The sequence below is a fragment of the Homo sapiens genome, chromosome 12 (assembly GCF_000001405.40).
Source record: "Homo sapiens chromosome 12, GRCh38.p14 Primary Assembly".
NCBI lineage: Eukaryota > Metazoa > Chordata > Mammalia > Primates > Hominidae > Homo > Homo sapiens.
In genome coordinates this window covers 32,247,054-32,271,753 of record NC_000012.12, presented here as the reverse complement: position 1 = coordinate 32,271,753, position 24,700 = coordinate 32,247,054, and the positions used below count along the sequence as shown (strand labels likewise).

At 40.7% G+C, this 24,700-nt stretch overlaps 1 protein-coding gene across 30 annotated transcripts in view, besides 6 other annotated features; it reads right to left on the bottom strand.

Moving 5' to 3' along the window:
- Window positions 1-24,700, bottom strand: part of BICD1 (BICD cargo adaptor 1) — a 276,787-nt gene that overhangs the window by 111,880 nt on the left and 140,207 nt on the right. Inside the window, exon 3 of one of the 30 annotated variants that reach the window (NM_001413177.1) lies at window positions 20,543-22,284. The exons of the other annotated variants lie outside the window; for them this stretch is intronic. Coding sequence (NP_001400106.1) covers window positions 22,231-22,284 — 54 coding nt within the window. The 3' untranslated portion in view covers window positions 20,543-22,230. Of the gene's footprint in view, window positions 1-20,542; window positions 22,285-24,700 lie in introns of those variants that run through there. 30 annotated transcript variants of the gene reach the window in all.
- Window positions 92-292: a silencer, noted in NCBI's record as "peak1664 fragment used in MPRA reporter construct". NCBI's record gives its function as "represses an SCP1 promoter by STARR-seq MPRAs in K562 erythroleukemia cells {active_cell/tissue: K562}" and the evidence as "EXISTENCE:reporter gene assay evidence [ECO:0000049][PMID:32103011]".
- Window positions 5,541-5,650: an enhancer, noted in NCBI's record as "active region_6189". NCBI's record gives its function as "activates an Ori minimal core promoter by ATAC-STARR-seq in GM12878 lymphoblastoid cells {active_cell/tissue: GM12878}" and the evidence as "EXISTENCE:reporter gene assay evidence [ECO:0000049][PMID:35858748]".
- Window positions 6,565-6,614: an enhancer, noted in NCBI's record as "active region_6188". NCBI's record gives its function as "activates an Ori minimal core promoter by ATAC-STARR-seq in GM12878 lymphoblastoid cells {active_cell/tissue: GM12878}" and the evidence as "EXISTENCE:reporter gene assay evidence [ECO:0000049][PMID:35858748]".
- Window positions 6,655-6,704: an enhancer, noted in NCBI's record as "active region_6187". NCBI's record gives its function as "activates an Ori minimal core promoter by ATAC-STARR-seq in GM12878 lymphoblastoid cells {active_cell/tissue: GM12878}" and the evidence as "EXISTENCE:reporter gene assay evidence [ECO:0000049][PMID:35858748]".
- Window positions 18,972-19,311: an enhancer, noted in NCBI's record as "active region_6186". NCBI's record gives its function as "activates an Ori minimal core promoter by ATAC-STARR-seq in GM12878 lymphoblastoid cells {active_cell/tissue: GM12878}" and the evidence as "EXISTENCE:reporter gene assay evidence [ECO:0000049][PMID:35858748]".
- Window positions 21,961-23,160: an enhancer, noted in NCBI's record as "MED14-independent group 3 enhancer chr12:32401528-32402727 (GRCh37/hg19 assembly coordinates)". NCBI's record gives its function as "activates an origin of replication core promoter dependent on BRD2, BRD4, P300/CBP and CDK7 cofactors, and independent of MED14, by STARR-seq in HCT116 cells {active_cell/tissue: HCT116}" and the evidence as "EXISTENCE:reporter gene assay evidence [ECO:0000049][PMID:35650434]".

The window sequence follows — 24,700 nt, the reverse complement described above, 5'->3', positions numbered from 1 at the left end:
TACTGAGCACAAAGTTTGAGGAGGGTCACCCAGGAGGACTCCAAAAAGATGGGGTTAGTGCTCTGAAGCAGCGAGGTTTGAGGATTGTTTATACAGGCACGGTATGGGGAAGCTTAACAGGATGACAGCATTTTCCACACAAGGTTAGTGCACAGTCGCAGCAATCTGACTGGTTTTAGGCAGTGATTCCTTGGGGGAAGGGAGTATTTAACATTCCACATTAAGGATGTAATAATCAAGGGATCTTTTATCTCAAGTGCTATCTGGTCTGGGCCAGGAACAATAAAATAGGAAGGAAGTTAATCTATAACAAAAGGTCAGTAATTAAGGTCATGGTCTGTCACTCCCCACTCAGTCTCCCAGTCAACCTTCTTCAGGGCCTAACATCTTTCAGAAGCCCCAAATAGACGAACTGTGCATTTTCTTTCACAAAATCAAAGAGATAAGCGCCTCATTTTGGGGGCCTCCAAACTGGGGAGAGGGCTGGAAGCACTGTGGAAACAGAACTAAGGGGCCATAGCCTCCAGCTCTGAGCGAAGTCTCATCTGGTTCAAAGAAAGGACACTAATTCAGGGAGAAAATGGAGTGTTTGTAGGATGAGAACATGCTTTCTTTCCTTGGAGACTAAGTTCCACATAGGGGCTCCAAGTCTGGCTCCCTTCCCCCAGCCCTGGGAAAGAATTTTGGAAAGTGTGAGCATCTTCTTTTGGTGCCTAATTGCCTGGGGGTCATACAGCCTGGAGCTGCTCTGTTGAGGACAGCGCATGGTGGCTTCCGGCTGGCCAGCGGCTGCTCTCTATGTTGTTCCTTGAAGACCCCACTGAACACACTTCACACACAGGGTCCCTTTCAGTTTGCAGAGAAGAGAAGCCTTTATACGGAGCAAGGTCCCATCAGAAGGCCTTTCAAAGATATACAAAGGCCAATGATGTATTTTTGCCTGCCCTGAATTTCAATTAGCATCTTAGGCAATAAACCTGAAAATGACTAATTGAGAAAATGTCTGTGTTTAGTTTGTGGGTCAAGGCCAATGAAATATTATAAAATACATATTCAGAATCAATACCAGCCAAATGAATTCAGTGTGTATGGGTGGTGTTTCACTTTTTAAAAAATCTTATCATAGTTTTACGTAAAAACTTGTAATAATTGCCTTTTTGTCTTACCTGTTTAACATTTTAGTGACTTGAATAATGAGATTAAAACAAGTTCTTATTCACCATTTAATTAATCAAAGTATGTGTGAGATATCTTTAATTCTTCAGTGGTACCTCACTTAATCAGTTCCACCCATAACAAACTTTTTCTTCTTTTACTTGTTTTTATTAGGACCTGGTGTCTACAACAACGAAACTTTTATACTTTCAGTAAAGCTAACATTCTCCAGAAAAAATGAAACTGATCGACTTTTAAAATGTGAATTTTCCAGTAAGCCAAGACTGCTTTTTGTAAAGAATCAGCTATAATACGAATATAGTACCATTAGATTCAGATTTTGGAGATACATCTTATTATATTATTTTATTACTATTCATATACCATATTAAAATGTTTTCTTCATCATTATTTTAGTCTCTCTCATTAACAGATAGAGAAGATAAAACTAAATAATAATAATTTTTTTTTTTTTTTTTAGAGGGAGTCTGGCTTTGTCGCTCAGGCTGGAGAGCAGTGGTGCCATCTTGGCTCACTGCAACATCCGCCTCCTGGGTTCAGCAATTCTCCTGCCTCGGCCTCCCGAGTAGCTGGGACTATAGGTACGTGCCACCACGCCTGGCTAATTTTTTTATTGTTAGTAGAGATGGGGTTTTGCTACGTTGGCCAGGCTGGGCCCAAACTCATGTGATCTGTCTACCTCGGCCTTCCAAAGTGCTGGGATTACAAGCGTGAGCCACCCTGCTCAGCCCGATATGATAATTGTGAATGATCATATGTGTGGGACCCGAGATATTACCAGGCCAAAACAAACCAATTTTAAGCAAACATAAAATTAAGCCATATTTTAAAAACTGAAAGCAACAATTTTAGCATATATTCCTAATGGGTGATCGACCAGTGTCTCAGCCATCAGGTTTATAATGGCATCAGAAAGCAAGTTATAACCCAGAGAACTTAAAATTTCATCTATAAAACTGTTGGGAATACTACAATGATTCCTTAAATATTTACCTATCTTTTTGATTTTAGCATTTCTTACTAAAATCATTTCTCTAATTCTCTTCCTTTTGGATAAAAGCAAATTTGCAAGTTGTTAAGTACAGACTAGTAAAAATGCTTTTTTGCATATGGAGAATTACTGTTAAAGTTCTCACTTAATAGTTCCTATACAGTACTTAGGCCTGAGGAAGAATATGCTCTAAGTTTTCACAATGTAAGAAAGTAATTCACATTAAAGAAACAAAACTCTATCATCAAAGTTTTGGAGGACAATATTCATATTACTTTAATAAAAATCACTGAAACATTTATTTTAAGTTCAAAATATTCATGTGCCTATTTCCAATATTATCTTTTAAACAAATCTATCTTTCTAACTTGTCATTCAGTATTAATATATACTACTATTTAAATCTGATGACATTAATTCTTGGGAAAATAAAAAAAAAATAATGCAGCTGTGGGCACATTATTGACAACAAAGTTTCTCAAAATGTGGTCCCAGAACCAGCAGTATCAACATCACATGGGAACTTGGAAAAAAGCAAATTCTCAAGTCCCATCCCAGACCTACAAATCAAAAACTTCAGCAATCTGTATTAAACTCCTCTGATTCACACTACAGTTTGACAAGTAGTCCAAAGAAGAAAAATCCACTTGCAACGGTTGAAGCTCATCCAGAAAACAGATGCTCATAAGTAGGTTGGCTTATGAGCTATTCAATGTCCAGAAATTAGATACAATAATAATTATTAACTTTTTGTCAATGGGTGAAAATTCCACCTTATTTTATTTTCATTTCATTTATTTATTTTTATTGTCACCCAGGCTGGAGTGCAGTGGCGCGATCTTGGCTCACTGCAACCTCCGCCTCCTGGGTTCAAGTGATTCTTCTGCCTCAGCCTCCCAAGTAGCTGGGATTACAGGCACTCACCACCTCACCTGGCTAATTTTTGTATTTTTAGTAGAGACGGGGTTTCGCCATGTTGGCTAAGCTGGTCTTGAATTCCTGACCTCAAGTGATCCACCTGCCTTGGCCTCCCAAAGCGCTAAGATTACAGGCATGAGCGACCGTGCCCAGCTCAAAATTCCATCTTATTTTTACAAGCTTCTAATTTCTTGCTTGCTGTGGCACTGACTTTTGAATGAAGTTGCTTATCCAATGATGTATTTCTTTTTTACGATGGGCAGTTGAACATGGACCAATGACGTATTTTTTATTTTGTTTTCTCCGAGAGAAGTTGCACATCTGTTCATATCTGGGGCTCAGTGTCCATAGTACCCTGATGGGCAGGAATGCAGGCACTCTCCATCCTGGCGCATCCCTTCTCTTCGAAGGAAGAAAAACAACTTCTGTTGACATTGGTTGTACTCATTGTCCTTTGAACAAGACAAACAACCCTTGCAAATGGGATGTGATACATAACTAGCTCAAACTGGACTTGTCAAACTGTCCAGCAATTAAAAATAAATAATGGTAAATAAAAATAAATAGGATAGGCTGGGTGCAGTGGCTCACACCTGTAATCCCAGTGCTTTGGGACACTGAGGTGGGAGGAAGGCCAGGAGTTTGAGGCCAGTCTGGGCTACACAGTAAGACACCATTTCTTCAAAAAAAACACTTTTTAAATTAGCCAGAAGTGATGGCCCATGCCTGTAGTCCCAGTGACTCAGGAGGCTGCGGCGGATCACTTGAGCCCAGGAGTTAGAGGGTGTAGTGAGCCATGATTGTGCCACTGCACTCCAGCCTGGGCAACAGAGTTAGACCCTGTCTCTAAAAAAACTTATTTTAAAAAGGATAGTCAGACAATGAAACAAAATAGAGAGCCTAGAAACAGATTCACTGGTAATAAAAGTTAATTAACAACAAAAATGTCATTGCAGATCAGTGGGGGAAAGATGGGTTAGAAGAAAATATACCAGAACATATTTATCACTTTGCAGCAGAGAATTTCTTAAATAAGAAACAAAAAAATAGCTTAATAAGGATTGATAAATTTAACTACATTAAAATTCCATACTTCTGTTCATTCAAACATCATTTACAATAAAGTAAATGAAAAGACCAGCCTCTAACTAGGAATAGATATTTCTCACACATATACTAATTGACAAAGATTTATATTTAGTATGGATTCACCCAGCAACTATTTACTGAGTACTTGTTCTCTGCCACACACTATTATAAGTGCTAGGGATACAGTAGTAATTAAAATACAAAACAAAAAAACTACAAAGATCTCTGCTTTCTTGAACTCACAAGAAATAGTTTAAAAGAGACCTAATCAATAAGTAAATTATGTAGTTTATTTAATTACAGTTCATTGTATACACTGTGTACATATGCAGGGATCCAGAAGGAGAAAGTTTGAAAGGCTAGGGATAAGATGTCTAGGAAAGAGGCAAATGGATAGACACATAGTAGTATCAGGTGTGTGATCTTTCGATTGCATGGTAACACCTATCAGAGAGCATTTACCAAGGAAGAGACACTAAACAATGAGATAGACAGAATGATGTGCATGACATGTCAGCCTCTGTCATCAGCCACTCCTGTGCTGGCACCATGGAACCATGAGCGTAATGGGGACTGTCAGTACATAACAGAAGTCAAACCTCAGAGCCAGGGTTCTGGGGGCAGGGCTCTAATTCCCACAAGGAGGAATGGTTTCTTACTAGAATGTGACTGAGGTATTATTCATTAACTTCGTGCTCATTCTAAATTTTTTTTTTTTTTTTGAGACAGAGTCTCATTCTATTGCCCAGGCTAGAGTGCGGTGACGTGATCTTGGCTCACTGCAACCTCCATCTCCTGGGTTCAAGTGATTCTTCTGCCTCAGCCTCCCGAGTAGCTGGGATTATAGGCATGCACCACCACGCCTGGCTATTTTTTTATATTTTTGGTAGAGACAGGGTTTCACCATGTTGGCCAGGCTGGTCTCGAACTCCTGACCTCAAGTGATCCACCCGCCTTGGCCTCCCAAAGTGCTGGGGCTCATTCTAAATTCTATCTTAGCTGTCATTATCTTCCATTTGAGACCATGCATTTTGCCAAAATAACTTTTAGATGATGCGGTTTAAGATGATTTTTTGGCAGTTTGCTTTTAGATGATGTTGTGGCAGCTCACATGAAGGAGTTTCCAAGAGTTAGGTCCTAATTAAAGAGGAAATGAATTTTTAGAATGTGGCCTGTTATCATATTTCCAGCACTATTACTGATAGTCGCTATATTGAAAAGGAAAGCCCCTGTTACATAATTGACAATGACCACATTTTAGTAAAATTTGAAATTTCCAGAAAATATAATTTCTAGTGTTTCTAAGACAAGAAAATTCTCCAGTAGATACAATGCATCTTTCTGATGAAATGACTCCCGTTCCCCTCCTTCCACCATTGCTGCAGGTTTCTATTAAAATAGACAGTCTATGTATGATAGAACTACAGGGCTATGACCTAGGAAGAGGAAGTGACTGCACAGAAATGACCTAAATAGAAATCGTGTCTGTGCTTAGATGAGGAAGTCTGTATATATCACTATTAAAAGTTTAAACAAATTTGTGAGAAGCAATGAAAGTCTCTATAGACTATGGATATAAAAATGGATGCACAAATAAATGGAGAGAGATGACACGCTTATTCATCATGCTGCCTAACAAGCCGTGAGACAGATGTGTAATTGGGGCAGAGAACAGTGTACATTCTTTATACTTTAGAATTCTCTTCTCCATTCTAATTTATGTAAGCTGGAAGTGAAGATAGAAGAGTCTGTTCTTGAGTTAAACTGCCGACCAAGACTGAAAATTTGTCCAGCAGAAGCTCTTCAACACAGAAAAATTATACTGTAATTTTCTTTTCTTTTTGTCTTTTTTTTTTTTTTTAAATAGGATCTCGCTGTGTCACCTAGGCTGAATGCAGTGGCACAATTATAGCTCACTGTAACCGCGAACTCTTGGGCTCAAGGGATTGATCATCCTGCCTCAGCTTCCCAAGTAGCTGAGACTAGAGGCATGCGACACTGTGCCTAATTTTTACTTTTTTTTTTTTTTTTTCTGTAGAAACGGGGTCTCACTATGTTTCCCAGGCTGATCTTAAAATCTTGGCCTCAAGGGATCCTCCCGCCTCAGCCTCCCAAAGTTCTGGGATTACAGGTGTGAGCCATCGTGCCCAACCCTGTAATTCTTAACAAAAGAACCAACTGAATTGATGTGAAAGTCTTAGTTTATAGTTACCTTATACATTTTTCTCCTTTAACCAAGACATTCGCATGGGAACTGCTTCTAGCCATGATGAAGTAAGAAAGGACTTAGCTTTTTATTGTGAGCAATTAGAGAACTGAACGAAGTACAGGAAGCAGCTGTTTTCAGACTGAACACGAGGCCTTGTAAGACTAATCTCTGTTAGAGGGGAAACAGATGGGATGAGCATGAGAAACACCTGGGCCTTCTGCTTGGAGGCAATGTATAAACTGCAAGTGCAAGAAGGGGAAACCCAGAGACCCCAGAGGCCTCGTGGAGGTAAGGAGAGGGGGCTCTGAGTTCAGAAGGCTAAGGCAGCTGGAAGTTGCAGAGTAGAATTCTGGAAAGGAGCGACCAGCACAGAAAAATAACTCCAGGAATCTGCATAAGGATTTGCTTAAGCCCTTTCTGTGTACAAGGTCGCACATGCCTATTCTGCAAAACATCACGCAAAATGCAGCAGTTACAAAGAAACAGGACAAGGTCTCTGCCTCTTAGGGGCTAAAATATAGTGAAGAATTTCACACTGGTAATAATTTCCTTTTTGCTCTGACATCTTAAAAATTCTATTTAGGCTGGGCATGGTGGCTCACACCTGTAATCCCAGCATTTTGGGAGGCCAAGGTAGGTGGATCACTTGAGGTTAGGAGTTTGAGACCAGCCTGGCCAACAATGGTGAAACCCCATCTCTACTAAAAATACAAAAATTAGGAGGGTGTGGTGGCACGTGCCTGTAGTCCCAGCTACTTGGGAGGCTGAGGCAGGAGAATTGCTTGGACCCAGGAGGCAGAGGTTGCAGTGAGCTGACATCATGCCACTGCACTCCAGCCTGGGCGACACAGCAAGACACTGTCTTAAAAAAAAAATTCTATTTAATTTCTAAAAACATTTTTTACTGTAACAAATGTTAGAATGTTATCAATTCTATATGTATTTTTTATGGAGAAGGTATTGTAAACATATAGCCAATCATTCATTCCTTTTAGTAGTTCAACAAATACTCACTGAGTGCACACAATATGCAAGAAATTGTGTAGATGCCGGGATTTTAAAAAGGATAGGATCTTGCCTCTTCCTCAGAGTTTATAATTTAGTTGAGGAGATATACTTAAGAGCTAATAACAATATTTAAGATTTATTGAATCCGTACATGCAAGTAATGTTCTAAGTATTTAGTACATAATAATTCATTTACTCCTCACAACAGCATTGTGAGATAGGTATTAATATCACAATTTTATAGACAAATAAATTGAAGCACACAGAGATTATGTAAATTTGCTTAATGATTTGCATTCTGTAAGTGGCAGAGCCAGGATCTGAAGCCTTGCAATCTGACTCTAAAACAGCTGCTATTAAATATTAGTGTATGGTGCTTTAAAAAATGAACTACTCTACTTGCAGATGTTTTGTGGTAAAAAAAATTTTAAAGAATTTTTTAATGAACTACTACTCATCAAGCATTTATTGGAGGCCCTACCCATGCAAAGCACTCTGCTAGACAGCAAGACTTAAATACGTGTAGAACAATCCCTCGCTTCAAGAAAACTATAGTCCGCATATGATTAACTTAAAATGATTATTATGGATTAATATTTGAAAACATCCATAATATATCACATGACTCCTGCAGGAAAAATATGCATTCTGAGTCTCAATTTACTTATGAATGAACTTTTGGAGTACCTTATTGCCAGGTGAGAACTGGCTCTATGATGTGTTGCAAATAATTATTTAGCATGCATTCTTTTATTTGTTAATACTTGAAACATGTTCTCACATTCTTTTCTGTAATACTTTTTTTTTTTTTTTCTTTTTGGGATGGAGTCTCACTGTCACCCAGGCTGGAGTGCAGTGGCGTGATCTTGGCTCACTGCAACCTCTGCCTCCCGGGCTCAACCAGTTCTCTGCCTCAGCCTCCCGAGTAGCTGGGATTACAGGTGCCCACCACCACACCTGGCCAATTTTTGTATTTTTAGTACAGGCAGGGTTTCACCATCTTGGCGAGAGTGGTCTTGAACTCCTGACCTCGTGATCCACCCGCCTCGGCCTCCCAAAGTGCTGGGATTATAGGCGTGAGCCACCATGCCTGGCCTTTTCTTATTTTAAAATGTTCACCAATCATGAAATAGAAGTCCTTTGGTGCTGTATGGTCACCCATTGTCTCAGTTTCCTAGGGCTGCTGTTATAAATTACCACAAACTTAGTGGCTTTTTTGTTTGATTTTGAGACCGGCTCTCACTCTGTTGCCCAGGCTGGAGTGCAGTGGCCAGATCATAGCTCACTACAGCCTTGGCTGCCCGGGCTCAGGTGATCCTCTCTCCGAAGTAGCTGGGACTACAGGCGTGCACCACCACACCTGGCTAATTTTTTTTTTTTCAATAGAGACGAGATTTCACCATGTTGGCCAGGCTGGTCTCAAACTCCTGAGCTCAAGCGATCCGCCCACCTTGGCCTTTCAAAGTGCTGGGATTACAGGCGTGAGCCACCACTCACAGCCTAAATTTGGTGGTTTAAACAGCAGAGTTTGTTCTCTCACAGTTCTGGAGGCCAGACACTTGAAATTAAGGTGCTGGCAGGGGCCATGCACCTTCAGAAAGCTCCTGCTTCTGGTGCCCCTGGCATTCCTTGTCTTATGGCAGCAGAATTCCAATCTCTGTCTCTGTCTTCACATGGCCACCTTCTCCTTTGCTGTCTCTTATAAGGATACTTGTCATTGGCTTTAAGGCTCACTGTAACCCAGGAGATGGACTCATCTCTAGATCCTTATCTTAATTACATTGGCAAAGACCCTTATTCCAAATAAGTCACATTCTGAGGGACCAAGGGTTAGTATGTGTGGAGCTCTGTGGTGTATCTTTTGGGGGCCACTATGCAATCTACTATACTCACCTTATTTATTCTTATTTTTTGTCATTTTGCTAATGTGAAGGGTGGCAGGTGTCTGAAAGGAACGGATGGTGAAGACATCAGGGAGGGACTTGCTAGTACCAGGGATGGGGCTGGAGAAGGAAATGGGAGACTGAATAGGGAAAGCAGGAAGTAGAAGACTCAGATTATAGAGTAGCCAAGGACTCTCCAATTTCAGGCTCAGATGTAGACACAAGATCAAGAGCAGAGTGGCCAAAAAAAGAGACAGAATTAAGAAAAAGCCAATGTCAAGGCAATGGGGAGGGTTTGAAGACAGTGCTCACGGATTCTGGTAATGAGCTGCATTTGCACTGTGATAAAAGTTTAAGGACATTTATAGGTAATGCACATAAAGCATATAACAAGCATAAATAACCTTGTTATATAAACCCACGACTTAAAATGGGGTCACGTTTAATAGTAACAACCCATATATTACTGGGTCTTGCCCCTGTCAGGTACTGTAACATCTCTATCCAAGTATGCACTCACCTCACCCCACAATTATTTCTGAGAGCTCCCATGAGTTGTCTTCCTGGACTCACAAACATGGCCTGTCAAGGCATTCGCCATTTCCTTCCTCTCCTGCTTCAACCCTTTCTGGTAAAATCCACTTTTGGGTCTCTGCTGCCCCCTAACTGGCACAAGGGGGCCTCACTACTGTCTCTGATGGCCCCAGTGAGCTCCTTTCTGCCAAGTTCCACCAGGCCTTGCTACCTGATTTTGCTGGGTACACCTGCTGCCAACACCACTTCAGTAGTAGAATCTCTTCCAGGAAACAACACCACAAAGGTGGTGGAATCCTCCAGCATCAAAATGGCACTGGTCCTCAAAATGCAATTCACTGAATTCCATGAAAATATGACAATACGGTTTTCCTTCCCTATAATATCACCTTTTTCCACTGGAGTTTATAGCAATGCTGCTTGTGTCTTAGTGGGCGGCAGACTTTCACTTATTGTCTTCACATCCCCATACACTGTCCCTACAATGTGATGCAGACATCCATTCTATATGCATACGAACACCAGTGAGAGCCCACAAAGACCTGAGCAGAAGGGCACATCCAACTGACCAACAAGCACTAAGCCGGAACAGCCCTAGGGCAATTGATGAATTTCTGGGTCAAGGGAAGAAAAGAAGAAATAGGAAGGGTAAAACACAGGAAGAGGTAATTACTATTCATCGTCTGTGCATCTAGGAGAAATTTTTGTAAGTTTTGGATGAGTTCCCTAGCACAGGGTCTGGCACATGGGTCATCCATAAGTATTTGTTAAATGATCAGTGAGATGGAGGAATCAATCCTGTGAAATCATGAGCTTGGGCCTCCTTCGGTAACAAAGTCCCCATGACCATCCTCATCATCTGAGAACTCTCCTTCCTGTACAACAGGACTCACTTTCATTTGCCCTTGATTGCCTAGCCCAGTCAGGAAACTGAGATTCTCCGAATCAGTGGCATATTCGCCTACAAGGCTATTTTTATTGAAATAGGAAATCAGACAAGGGAAAAGTCAGCGGGGAAACTGCCAGATATTCAAGCAGTTTAAGTTTTAAGACCCTTGGGCAAAACCAGTAATTGCCCAGGTTTAAGTGAAGGGAAGCAGATGCTGCTCACCCACACAGTGAATTGTCCTGAAACCCTAAAGGGCTTAGACAGGAATCCAGGCTAGAAAACTAACCAATAGCATTTAGAGGAGAAACAGACAAGTAACATGATAGACAACCATGTTTTCAACCTATGGGCTATGACCCAGAAGTGGTTTGTGAAATCAATTTAGGGAGTTGATTCCAGCATTAAAAAAAAAAAAAAAGTACTAGAATACAATAGGATAGAATAGAACAGACAATTTCAATGAGTAATGGTAAGCACTGTTTCCTTGATGTATTTTACTTTGGAATGTATATGTATATGCATATCTATACCTATATATGAATGCAGACACACACACATGCATGCGAGTCCTTGGTAGCAATGTAAAATGTATTGTTTATTGTGAGCTACGTAAAAAATGTTTGAAAGGCACTGCTGCAGAGAAGACAGGCAGATACAGTCATGGAAAACCAGAGAGTGCACATCCCACCAGAAGGGCAGCTACAACTCAGTTCCAAATGATTCTTGCTATAGCTTAGGATTTCCAAAAGAAGCCAGAAATCTGCATCTTTGTTAAATGTCATAATTTTTAAACGTTGGCAACCAGTTCAACAAAACAAAAGAAAAAAAGTGAGGCTGGGCGTGGTGGCTCATGCCTGCAATCCCAACACTTTGGGAGGCGGAGGCGGGTGGATCATCTGAGGTGGGGAGTTCGAGACCAGCCTGATCAACATGAAGAAATCCTGTCTCTACTAAAAATACAAAAATTAGCTGGGCGTGGTGGTGCATGCCTGTAATCCCAGCTACTTGGGAGGCTGAGGCAGGAGAATCACTTGAACCCGGGAGGCAGAGGTTGTGGTGAGCCAAGATCAAGCCACTGCATTCCAGCCTGGGCAATAAGAGCAAAACTCCATCTCAAAAAAAAAAAAAAAAAGTGTGTAGTGTATATATATGTGTTGACAACAGCCCACAGACACACAGCTTGTTTTCTCTATCCTACAGTAATACTCTTATAAGCCTACTCTGCAGAAAGATGTTACTGATCATTCTCTTGTTCACAAATATTGACTGCCTCTTCCTACAAGCCCTTGCCTTTAGATTATATAATCCACTCACTAACATCAGTCTTGGACATCTGATCTCCTTTGGCCAATGAAATGTGAGTGTAAGTGAAGTGTGTGCCACTTCTGAGCCAAAGTTCTAAGAACTTGTGTGTGGCCCATTGTGTTGCCATCTCTCCTTTCTCTCTGCCTGGAGACCAGCAATGCCCCATATTGAGGCTGTCCCTTCACAGAAGCTGCCAGAATGATGCTGATGTGGAGCAGACCCACTGACTGTTGGAAATAGACATGCAGCAAGAACAAGAGTTAAACCTTGCCTTAAGCTACTGAGATTCTCAAGTCATGTGTCACTGTTAGGATAACCAAGCCTCAGTCCACTGATACATTGCTTTACATAGATCGTAATCAATCTTATTAAGTAATTTTTCCAATAATCCTTTATTTATTTGTGGGTGGAGGATTACCCAGGTGCCAAGGCAAGAAACTGAAGGCACAAACTGTTTCAGTGTAATAAAGAAAACAGTTAGAATAGTTATAATACAAATTAGATATAGAGATGATCGTGGACATTATTAATCATTAACTTTTAATATTACTCTTTGTTGTGTTACTAATATAACCAAGGAATAACGGCGGGTATAGGGTCAGGTGCTGAAGGGACATTGTGAGAAGTGACCAAGAAGGCAAGAGGTGAGCCCTCTCTTACGCCCACATAAGGGCCACTTGAGGGCTCCCTGGTCAAGCGGTAATGCCAGTGCCTGGGAAAGCACCTGTTACTTAGCAGACTGTGAAAGGGAGTCTTCCTTTCCTTGGAGGACTCAGGGAACACTCTGCTCCACCAGCTTCTTGTGGGAGGTTGGATATTATCCATTCCTGCCCGCAGTCATCCGGAGGCTTAAACCCCTCCCTGTGGTGCTGTGCTTCAGTGGTCACGCTCCTTGTCCACTTTCATGTTCCTCCCGTACTCCTGGTTCCTCTTTGAAGTTGTTAGAAGATAGTGGTAGAAGAAATAGTGAAAGTCTTAAAGTCTTTGATCTTTCTGATAAGTGCATAGAAGAAAATGCTGATGTATGCTGTCTTCCCTCTCTGCTTCAGCTACCTATAAGGGAAGGGCCCCCTGTCCTATGATCACGTGACTTGCTTGACCTTATCAATCACTTGGATGACTCACCCTCCTTACCCTGCCCCGTTGTCTTGTATACGATAAATATCAGCACGCCCAACCATTCGGGGCCATTACTGGTCTCTGCGTCTTGGTGGTAGTGGTCCCCCGGGCCCAGCTGTCTTCTCTTTATCTCTTTGTCTTGTGTCTTTATTTCTTAGATCTCTCGTTTCCACACACGGAGAGAACACCCGCTAAGCCCCATAGGTCTGGACCCTATATTTATTACTTTAAAATAATAGCATATCAAATGACCAACACACATATTAAAAGGTCTTCGATTTCATTAGTCATAAGGAAAATACAAGTTGAAACCATAGTACAATATCACTATACACTCACTAGAGTGACTACAATGAAAATGCATCAAAATGAACTAAAATACTGAAATGAAAGTTTTGAAATGAAATATAAAATGAAAATGAAAGTAAGTATTGAAATGAAAAAATACCAAATGTTGGTGAAGCTGTGGAGTAAGCAAACCCTCACATATTGGGCCTGTCTACTGGTACAACCACTATGGAAAATTGTTTGGCAGTCTCTACTAAAGCTGAACAAGCATACTCTGCTGCAATTCTACCTCTAGGCGTATAATAAACAGAAATGCTCATATACATGCTCCAAAATACATGAACAAGGATGTTCATAGTAGCTCTTTCATAATAGCTAACTATCTGAAACTGAAACGTCAAATGACAACAGAATGGAAAAATTAAATGTAGTATAGTCACACAATGAAATATATGTATACACACATACATGTATCATCTATATATTATATATATTGAGAACAAAATGAACTGTGGCCACATGCAACCACTTGAATAAACTGCACAAACATAAGGTTCCATTGTATAACCATATTTACTGTAATTCATTCTATTTACTGTGGATAGTAATTTCCGTTGTTTTTAGTTTTCTCTGTTACAAACAGTGCTGCTGTGAGTTTTGTTGTCTACATCTTCTGACTCAAAAGTGCAAGCCTTTCTAGGGTTCATACCTCCAACTGGAATTGCTAGATCTTAGGATCTATACATCTTTAGCTTTACTAGATAAGGCCAAACAGTTTTTCAAGATGGTTGTACCAAATTACATGCCTACTCTCAATGTTTGAGAGTTCCTGTTGACTACCATCTTGACCAACATTTGATATTATCTATACCTTTCTAAAGTCTTTGAAGTCTCCAAAGAGATATGGAGGCTTGATAAAATGCTACATAAGTTCTTACAATCACTAGATCTATAGTGAGCAATACAAATAACATATTTTATATTCCAGAACAAATATAATTTTATATGTATATGCTTTTACTTCCCTAACAAAATGTCCAACCTTTTCTCCACATTTTTGAAATTTCTGAAAAATTTGCATTTCTGATCCTAGTGATGCTTTAAAAAGATTTTTTTTTTTTTTTTTTTTTTTTGAGACAGAGTCTCCCTCTGTCACCAGGCTGGAGTGCAGTGGTGCCATCTCTGCTCACTGCAACCTCCGCCTCCCCGGTTCAGGCAATTCTTCTGCCTCAGCCTCCCAAGTAACTGGGACTACAGGCACCTGCCACCATGCCCAGCTAATTTTTGTATTTTTAGCAGAGACGGGGTTTCACCATGTTAGCCAGGATGGTCTTGATCTCTTGAACTTGTGATCCGCCCGCCTTGGCCTCTCAAAGTGCTGGTATTACAGGCGTGAGCCACTACACCCAGCCAGAAAAGATTTTATATCATTAAAAAGAAATTAAGTGCTTATTTGTGTCTGATGATGAACTGCATAATTAGATACTGTAATTTGTTAATATTATTCAATAAAATCAAACTAACATTGAATGAGAATCTGTTCATGTCAGTGTTTATTTCGTGTAATGCTCATAACTTCCTTTTTACAGATAAAAAACAAAGATAAGAGAAGTGTTGAATCCACAGTGACACAGCCAATTGGTGGCTGGGTCAGAATACAAACCAGGGTCTGTCTGATTACAAAACAACTTTATCTTCATTAGTCATCACTGTCTCTTTTTACAATTTTCCTTCTTATCTATTATTTGTTCAATTTTTCAAAATAAAAAAACTTTTCTTTATCATTTTCTAAAAGAGAAATCTTTCTGGCTTTAAAACCTGAAGCTCAACAAAACTGGGTAAATCTCAGCTCTATCACTTTCCTGTGTGTGGCCTTTGGCAGGTGAGTTGACCTCCTTAAGGTTCGGTTTTATGATCTGACCCAAAGTGGGGATGATAATCATATGTATATCAGAGGATGGCTGTGAGGGTTAAATTAGATAAATAATGGCAAAGGGCAGGGCGTAGTGGCTCACACCTGTAATCCCAGCATTTTTGAAGGTCAAAGCAGGAGGACTGCTTGAAGCCAGAAGTTCGAGATCAGCCTGGGCAACATAGCAAAAACCCGTCTCAAAAAATTAAAAAATTAGCTGGGCATGGTAGTGCATGGCTGTAGTCCTGCCTACTCAGGAGGCTGAGACAGGAGGATTGCTTGAGCCCAGGGGGTCAAGGTTGCAGTGAGCTATGATTGTACCACTGCACTCCAGCCTGGGCCACAGAGTGAGACCCTACCTCTAAAAGAATAAAAAATAAAATAACAATAATTATAATAATGGCAAAGACTTAGCATAATGCCTTGCAAATAGTAAGTGTTCAATATCTGCTCTATTGATAAATTAATAATAATTAATTAATAATATTATCATTAATATGCTCTATTATTAATGTCGAGTCAACATTGATTAAGGGTAATATTTTAATACGCCTGGCCGCACTACTGATCTTTGTGTCTTCATATCCAGCAAAGCATCTGGCACAGGCCAGCTGGCCAAGGGAGTAATTCTGATTGGGTATCAGGGATGTCCTATGAAAGATGACACTTAAGTGAGACCTGAATGATGAGAATGAGCCAGCTATCTGGGGCAAAGCACCACAAGGAGAATGAACAGCCAGAGCAAAGGCCCTAAGGGAGAAAGCAGCAGCACGCAGGCCAGTGTGGCTGGAGCAGTGTGAGAGGTAAGCAGGTGCCTGATCACAGCCTTGCAGAACATGGTAGAAACTTTGGGTGGTTTCTCCAAGTTCCATGCCTCATCATTAGAAGATTTTTAAGCCAGTGAGTAATATGGCATAAACAAGGAATATCTGTAGAATAAATGAGCATTTTTAAAGGTTCACATTAGCAGTATGCCTCTACTACCTTAAGAGGTAAGATTTTGGCATGGATAGGGCTTTTTCAACCTCTGTCCAGATGACTGGCACATGGTGGCTGTTATGAACTGAATGTTTGAGTTCCCCCAAACTCCTATGTTGAAGCCCCAGTTCCCAATGTGATGGTAATTGGAGATAGGGCCTTTGGGAATTAAATGGGATTGGATGAGGCTATGAGGCTGGGGGATGATGGGATCAGTGGCCTGATGGAATCAGTGCCTTTATATGAAGAGACATCAGCGAATCTGTCTTGTTGTCTCTTTCTCTCCATGCAAGCACAGAGGAAAAGTCACGTGAGGATGCAGCAAGAAGGTGGCTGTCACAAGCAGGAAGAGGGCCCTCAGCAGGAACCAAATCAGCAGACACCTCGATCTTAGACCTCTCAGACTCCAGAACTGTGAGAAATCAATTTCTGTTGTTTGGGCCACCTGGTCTGTGATATTTTGTTATGGCAGCCCAAGCAGACTAATACAGTGGCCAAGATCTTGTCCAAGAAGAATGAATGAATCTCATGAAAACACTGAATGCATCTTACTTAATGCTTCTGCTTTGGGAGAAAAAATGCCTCTCGAGCTCAGGGAGAACAAAACAGACTAATTAAACAAGGAGAATAGTAAAGGAAATTGCTTTTTAAGCAAGGTTATATATTGGTTCATTGCTCATTTCTAATTGCACCAGAGGGAAACTAGATAATAGTAGTCACTAAATTCCAGAAGACTTGGCCCAAATTTCCTTCATCTAATTCAAAGGCTCGATTCAGCAAGGGGCAGATGATGCGACTGTCCCAATTGAATGAGACAGTGACCACACAATGTGCTGCTCTTGACACAGCATGCTGAACAGAGGAGGAAAGATCTTGGGGAAGGTCAGGTTTTTATTTATGTGCTTGTGCTGCCTATGGATTTCTAAATAGATGTTACAAGTGATTATGTCAAAACGTGGTACCTGTTAAGAGATTTAAATTTTCTATTTTGCTAATTCAGCAAATATTCACTGAGCACCTACAAATGCTAGAGCCTACTCTGGAAGCTTGGGATACAGCAGTGAATATGGTAGGTGGGGTATGGCAGTGAATATGACAGGTGGGATACGGCAGTGATTATGGCAGGTGGGATCTGCCAGTGAATATGGCAGGTGGGAATATGGGCAGTGATTATGGCAGGTGGGATACGGCAGTGAATATGGCAAGTGGGATATGGCAGTGAATATGACATGTGGAATATGGCAGTGATTATGGCAGGTGGGATTCGGCAGTGAATACGGCAGGTGGGATATGGGCAGTGATTATGGCAGGTGGGATACGGCAGTGAATATGGCAGGTGGGATATGGCAGTGAATATGACGTGGAATATGGCAGTGATTATGGCAGGTGGGATTCGGCAGTGAATACGGCAGGTGGGATATGGGCAGTGATTATGGCAGGTGGGATACCGCAATGAATGTGGCAGGTGGGATACGGCAGTGATTATGACAGGTGGGATACAGCAGTAAATATGACAGGTGGGATACAGCAGTGATTATGGCAGGTGGGATATGGCAGTGATTATGACAGGTGGGATACGGCAGTGATTATGGCAGGTGGGATACGGCAGTGATTATGACAGGTGGGATACGGCAGTGATTATGGCAGGTGGGATTTGGCAGTGAATATGACAGGTGAGATACAGCATGAATATGACAGGTGTGGTTCCAGTCCACAAGAGCTTGTATTGCAGTTAGAGGGAAACAGAAAATAAAACAAATCTAGGAAATCTCACATAGTGAAAAATGTTAAAAATAAAAAAGAAGTGTGCTAGAGAGTGACTAAGGAATTATTTCTGTCATTATTTACTTACTATTTGTGATGAATAAGCATTAATTGGAAGCTTAATATTGACCTCTGCTTTCTTTTTCTTCTTAAAAGAGGAAACAGTCTGATCACTTTTACTATAAAAATAAAAAAAAAAAGAATCCACGGCCTTTCTTGAGCTCTTATCATCAAATTAAATTTGTATATTTTGAGTCCTTTTGAAAGGGAAAATGGAAAATGCTGTTAGAGAAGTCCAGTGGGGCATTAAAGTCAAACGATGAGTCAGATTTGGAAAGTAAGCATTTTGAAAGCTGGGACCAGGTTTTCCTCAAGTCTGCATCTTGCATAGCAACTAGCATAATTCCTGGCATTATTAATAATGTAACAGAAAAAAGGGCCAATATATTAACAAGCAGCAATTCAAAGAAAAAGGAATCCAAATGGCTAATAAACATAGTAAGATGCTGGCTGGGCACGATGACTCACACCTGTAATCCCAACACTTTGGGAGGCCAAGGCGGGCCGACTGCTTGAGCCCAGGAGTTCAAGACCAGCCTGGGCAACATGGCAAAACCCAGTCTCTACAAAAAATGCAAAAATTACCTGGGTGCGGTGGTGTGCACCTGTAGTCCCAGCTACTCAGGAGGCTGAGGTGGGAGAATCCTCTGCCTTCCATATGAACCCGGGAGGCAGAGGTTGCAATGAGCCATGATCATGCCACTGCACTCCAGCCGGGATGACAGAGTAAGACCCTGTCTCAAAAACAGAAACAAAAAACGAAAGAAAACAAAAGTAATCAACAACAAAACGATAGTAAAATGCTAAAACCAACTGTGTAGCATCCTATAGGAGACATATCATGACTACAAGATTAATGATAGCTATAAGGCATTAACAAGCTCTCACAGGACTGACACTATGTGCCACTTAGCAGCGTGAGGCCACCTGGCCTGGGGATTTCCAAGCTGGCCCAGGGATTTCCAGGACATAAGGCCACCTCATCACGGATGCAAATCTCGTAAACCTTTAACAAAGCTTACCCTTATAAGACTAGCTTAACCTCCTCTTATGAAAGAAACGCCTGATAATTGACTGAACTAAATGCAGGTAGAAGAAATGGGAAGAATCTCCCAAACTCTGAGAATAGTCTCCAGATGGAGACCCTCCTGGACAGGCAGTCATCTGACCTCTGATTGAATCTGGCCCATGCCACCCACCTGCTCCCACTATCCGACTTGTAAGACCACTGCTAAAATAAATAGCTTGAACATCAGATGGTATTGAAGTCACATCTTTGATGTGAATCGGACTGAAGGGAAGTTGCTTCTAGGGAAACTGGTTTGCTAGGACCATCGAAAACCTCCAAACATGGCAAATTTATAACTCAAGTGAAACGAAGTAAAAAGAGAAGTTATATATATAATATATACAAGATATATAATATATATAAAATATATAGTATATATTATATAATATTTATTATAAATATATAATATGTAATATATAATATATAATATTTATTATAAATATATAATATATAATATTTATTATAAATATATATTTATAAATATATATTATAAATATATAATATATAATATTTATTATAAATATATATTATAAATATATGATATTTATTATAAATATATATTATAAATATATTATATATATAGTGGTAAAGTTTTAAAAGTTTTGTAAAAAAAACAAACTCCCGAGCGCCCCAAAACCGTGTGGAAATATGAACTCTTACTCATCACTGGAGGGAAAGATAATAGATGTCTTTTGAGAAGGCAATTTAAAAAGAAGTATCAAAAGTGTAAATGTACATCCTGCTTTACCTGGAAACTACACCAAGAACAACTTATCCCATGGATCTGTTTGTCAAAATGCATAAATATGAAAGTATAAAGATATTATTTATGATGCAATTTATGAAAATAAAAACTTGAAAATAAACCAAGACTCCATTAACACAGGGAGCTGGACACATAACATCTGGTGCATCCATATAGTAGAACAGTATGTAGCTGTATATAAAAGAATGGAGAGTTCTAGAAAATATACAATTAGGTGATAAAAATCAAGGAGCATTAAACATTTCTGAAACAATATATGAGTGTTAATAGTGGGGTCTAGAACGTGAGAAGGGCAAGGAAAAGATTCTTCCCTAGAGCCTCCAGGAAGAAACCAGTCCTGCTGATGCCTTAATTTTTCACCCAGTGAGACGCATTTCAGAATGCTGAGCTACACAACTATGAGATGGATTCGTGTTGCTTTAAGCCACAAAGTTTGTGGTAATTTGTTACAGCAAACTAATTTAAGTATTTACTTCTATAGCATGGGACTGGAGGTTGAGGTAGTGAGGAGGAAGATTTTATTTTTATGTCATTCCTATTTCACTTAAATATTTTAACATATGCATATATAACTTAAAAATATATATAAGAACAACAAGAAGATATTTTTAATTGGCATTTTAAAGAAGTACAATTCCCTTTGTAATGGCAAACTTTAAGGATAATTTTCTATTATAGTCAGAAAATAATGAGGTAAACATTAGAAAAATAAAATTCCAAAAGGAGAAAATTTTATATAGGTTCTAACTCACTCAAAAGAACTAGGACCTAAGCTTATGATTTCATCCTTATACTTCTTCTTTTTTTTGATACAGGGTCTCACTGTGTCACCCTGGCTAGAGTGAAGTGAGTGGTATGATCACAGCTCACCGCAGCCTCGACCTCCTTGGGCTCAGGCAATCCTCCCACCTTAGCCTCCCAAGTAGCTGGGACTATAGGCACATGCCACCACATCTGGCTAATTTTTGTATTTTTTTTGTAGAGACAGGATTTATCCATGTTGTCTAGGCTGGTCTTGAACTCGTAGGCTCAAATGATCCGCCCACCTCAGCCTCCCAAAGTGCTAGGATTACAGGCATGAGCCACTGCGCCTGGCTTCATCCTTACACTTCCATATGGTGGCCTCAATTTACTGAGAATATGTCTGTATGCAATAAAGATTAAAATAACACAATTTTGAAAAGTAGGTGGATACCTAATGAGAGGCAAAAATAAAACAAAACAAGATAAAACCTGTCTCATTTTTCATCCCTGAGCATTCAATGTCTGCCACCACTGTCCCATCACTACCTCTTTCAATTAACTGGATGATAAATGTGCATTACAAATTGCATGATGTTTTCTAGATAGCCATCCTATTATAGCACAGTGCACTAATAATAAAAATATACAATGTTTAATGAGCAGTATGTATCCCAGGCACCATTCTAATTATTTTCTATTAATCGCATTTTATCCTCACAATAACCCCACTGAGGTAGGTATTATCGTCATCTCCATTTCTTTGAGGCACAAAGGAGTTACCTGCCCAAGGTCCACACAGCTAATACATGAGGAGACCCAGACTGGAACGGAAACAGTGTAACTGCAGAATGGCCCATCTCAACCACTTAATCCTGTACTGAATACAGTTGAGAAAGTTTAACTCAACGTCTAAACAGAATTTCTTTGTGATGAACGTGGTGTAGGACAAGCTTTAGTTTTGGCAGTCCTTTCAGCATTGCAGATCTAGGGTGCTGGAATTAACATAATAATATGCTTCTTGTCTTTTCATTCCAACAGTTCAGCCTCTCCACCATACAGCTTTCCCAACATCCTTTCTTTTGTCTCCTATTTGAGCTCAAAATGATCTGGTATGCCAACCCCAGAAGCATTTATGATCAAATCCCTTTTATTTCCTTTTCAAGCCTCTGTTCTAGGACCTGTGCTTCAGCATTCCTGGGAACCAAAGTCATGCTGCAATAAAATCACTTGCAAATTGTTGGCATTATCAAATCACATTGGAAGACACTTGTACAAAAGAATGAACAAAATATAATAATGGAACAACTTTGGCATACTGCTGCTAATTAACGAAATACATTTTAAAATACTAAAAAAAAAAAAGAGAGAGAGAGAAAAGAAAACTCCATCTCAAGGAGTCCTGAAGCCCTTAGTGATCTCCAGGAAGACACTCCCGAACCCAGAGCATTTTAACTTAGGCTCCATGTGAATGGTTTCAGGACACCTGGGAAACACAAGAATCCTCCCCTTACAGCCATAATGATCTGTATCACCTTCCTCCATGAAAATCAGATCTGGAGTTCTCTTCTCTCTTGTTTACATTCTAGGTAAGGGGGAAAAGAGACAAGGAAAGACATATTCACAGACAAACTAATAAATTACTTTGAAGTACATTTATCCATTATTAATGACAGTATAGTGGTATAATTAAGCTATTTCAAATAACTCATATATAAGAACACGTTCTGTTGTAAAGAGATCCCTGTACACCTTGGGCTTCTTGTGATTTAAGGCCCAGCCTCACTTTTCCATCCCACATCTGCTCCCTAGGGCACCACAGAGTTTGTTTCTTCAAATCTTTTTTTTCTTGCCAGCTATTGCTATACTCTACCCTACCCACCTGAAGTTCCTTTCCCTAAAGACTGGTGCTGTATAATACACAGGTGTAAGAAGTTAGCCAGCTTGCTTTAGGCAGACAGTAAGGGAAGGGTCCCTGGAGAACCTCCAACCCGCCCCACAAATGCTTACACCAGATATTTTGTGCAGATGTGGGAACTTGCACAGGGGGCTTGCCTAAACATGCCCGCAGTGGAAAATTCCATTCCTTAACACATGTGCAGTAAGGGAAGTAAATCAATATGGAGTGGCTCACCCTAAGGGCCCACATGCGCACTGGAAGGATGGGGTGGAGCCGCCAGGAATTTGTGCCTTAAGCACAGTATTCAACTGTGAAGGGGGCAGCCAACAACCTGCTTTTCCAGACCCCCCTCTTTGCTGAGAGCTTTCCTTTTGCTTAATAAATTCTACTCTACTCACCCTCTGGTGTCCACGTGCCTAATTCCTCCTGGTTGTGAGACAAGAACCTGAACCTAGCTGAGCTAAAGAGCCAAAATCCTGCATCTTGGGCTCCCCAGCTTCCCAGTTCTCCCCACCCTCTTCTAACTTAGAGTTCTTAAAATCAGCACAAGAGTCTGTTTTACATTTTAATGTTTCATCTATATGCATAATAAGGAAGCAGATCTCACTGCTCAAGGACTTCATTTTTGCAATTATCCCTCCCACCTCTCTCCTTCATCAATTTCTCCTTCTTTAAGGATCATCAGTTTAAAATATACATCTCAACATAAACTACCACTGCAGCAGAAACCAACAACAAAACAAAATGAAAATAATGGTACCCCATCCCTCTGCTGCCTTTCACAGCAAAATCCTGATATGAACTGTTGATTCTTGCCATCTCTGTTTCTCCACATTTGCTCTTCAGCCTACTCTCATCAGACCTTGGTTCCTATCACCTCAGGGAAACTCTCCTGCCAAGTCATCAGCAACCTCCATCTTGCCAAATCCAGTAATTAATTCTTAGCTTCATTTTACTCACACAGTTCTGCATTTCTTCCTTTTGGAAAGACATTTTTCTCTAGGATTCTAGGTGACTGCTCTAGGAGACAGAGGTCTTCTTGGGTTTTTGTTTTTTTTGTTTGTTTGTTTGTTTGATGGAGTCTCGCTCTGTCACTCAGGCTGGAGTGCAGTGGTGCGATCTCGGCTCACTGCAACCTCCACCTCCCAGGTTCAAGCAATTCTCCTGCCTCAGCCTCCCGAATAGTTGGGATTACAGGTGCGCACCACCACGTGGCTAATTTTTGTATTTTTAGTAGAGACGGGGTTTCACTATGTTGGTCAGGCTGGTCTTGAACTCCTGACCTCAGGTGATCCGCCTGCCTTGGCCTCCCAAAGTGCTGGGATTACAGGCGTGAGCCATCACACTCAGTCTTCTTTTTTTTTGAGACAGTCTTGCTCTGTTGCCCAGGCTGGTGTGCAGTGGTGCAATCTCGGCTCACTGCAACCTCTGCCTCACAGTTCAACCAATTTTCCTGCCTCAGCCTCCTGAGTAGCTGGGACTACTGGCTAGAGTGAAGTGAGTGTGCACCACCACACCCAGCTAATTTTTGTATTTTTAGCAGAGACAGGGTTTCTCCATATTGTCCAGGCTGGTCTTGAACTCCTGACCTCGAGTGATCTGCCCACCTCGGCCTCCCAAAGTGCTGGGATTACAGGTGTGAGCCACCATGCCCGGCCCAACAGAGGTCTTTAATGGTTTCTCCTTTTCTCTACCTGCTTCTGTACACCAGAGTGTCTGAGGCTGGATCTTCAGATGTATTCTCGTCATTCCTTAGGTTATCTCCTCCAAGCCCATGGCTTAAAATGTCATCTATTCACTGATGACTCCCAAATTTCTTTCTCTAGCCCAGCCTCTACCCTGAGCCCAGACTTGTGTATCCAATTACCTACTTGTCTTCACCACTTGAAGGTCTAATAGGCATTTTTTTTTTTTTTTTGATACAGGGTCTCGCTCTGTCATCCAGAGCGAAACCCAGAGCGAGTCTGTTACCATGACTCAAGTGATCCTCCCACCTCAGCCTCCCTAGTAGCTGGGACTACAGGCACACACCACCATACCGGGCTAATTTTTGTATTTTTTGTAGAAACAAGGTTTTGCTGTGTTGCCCAGGCTGGTCTCA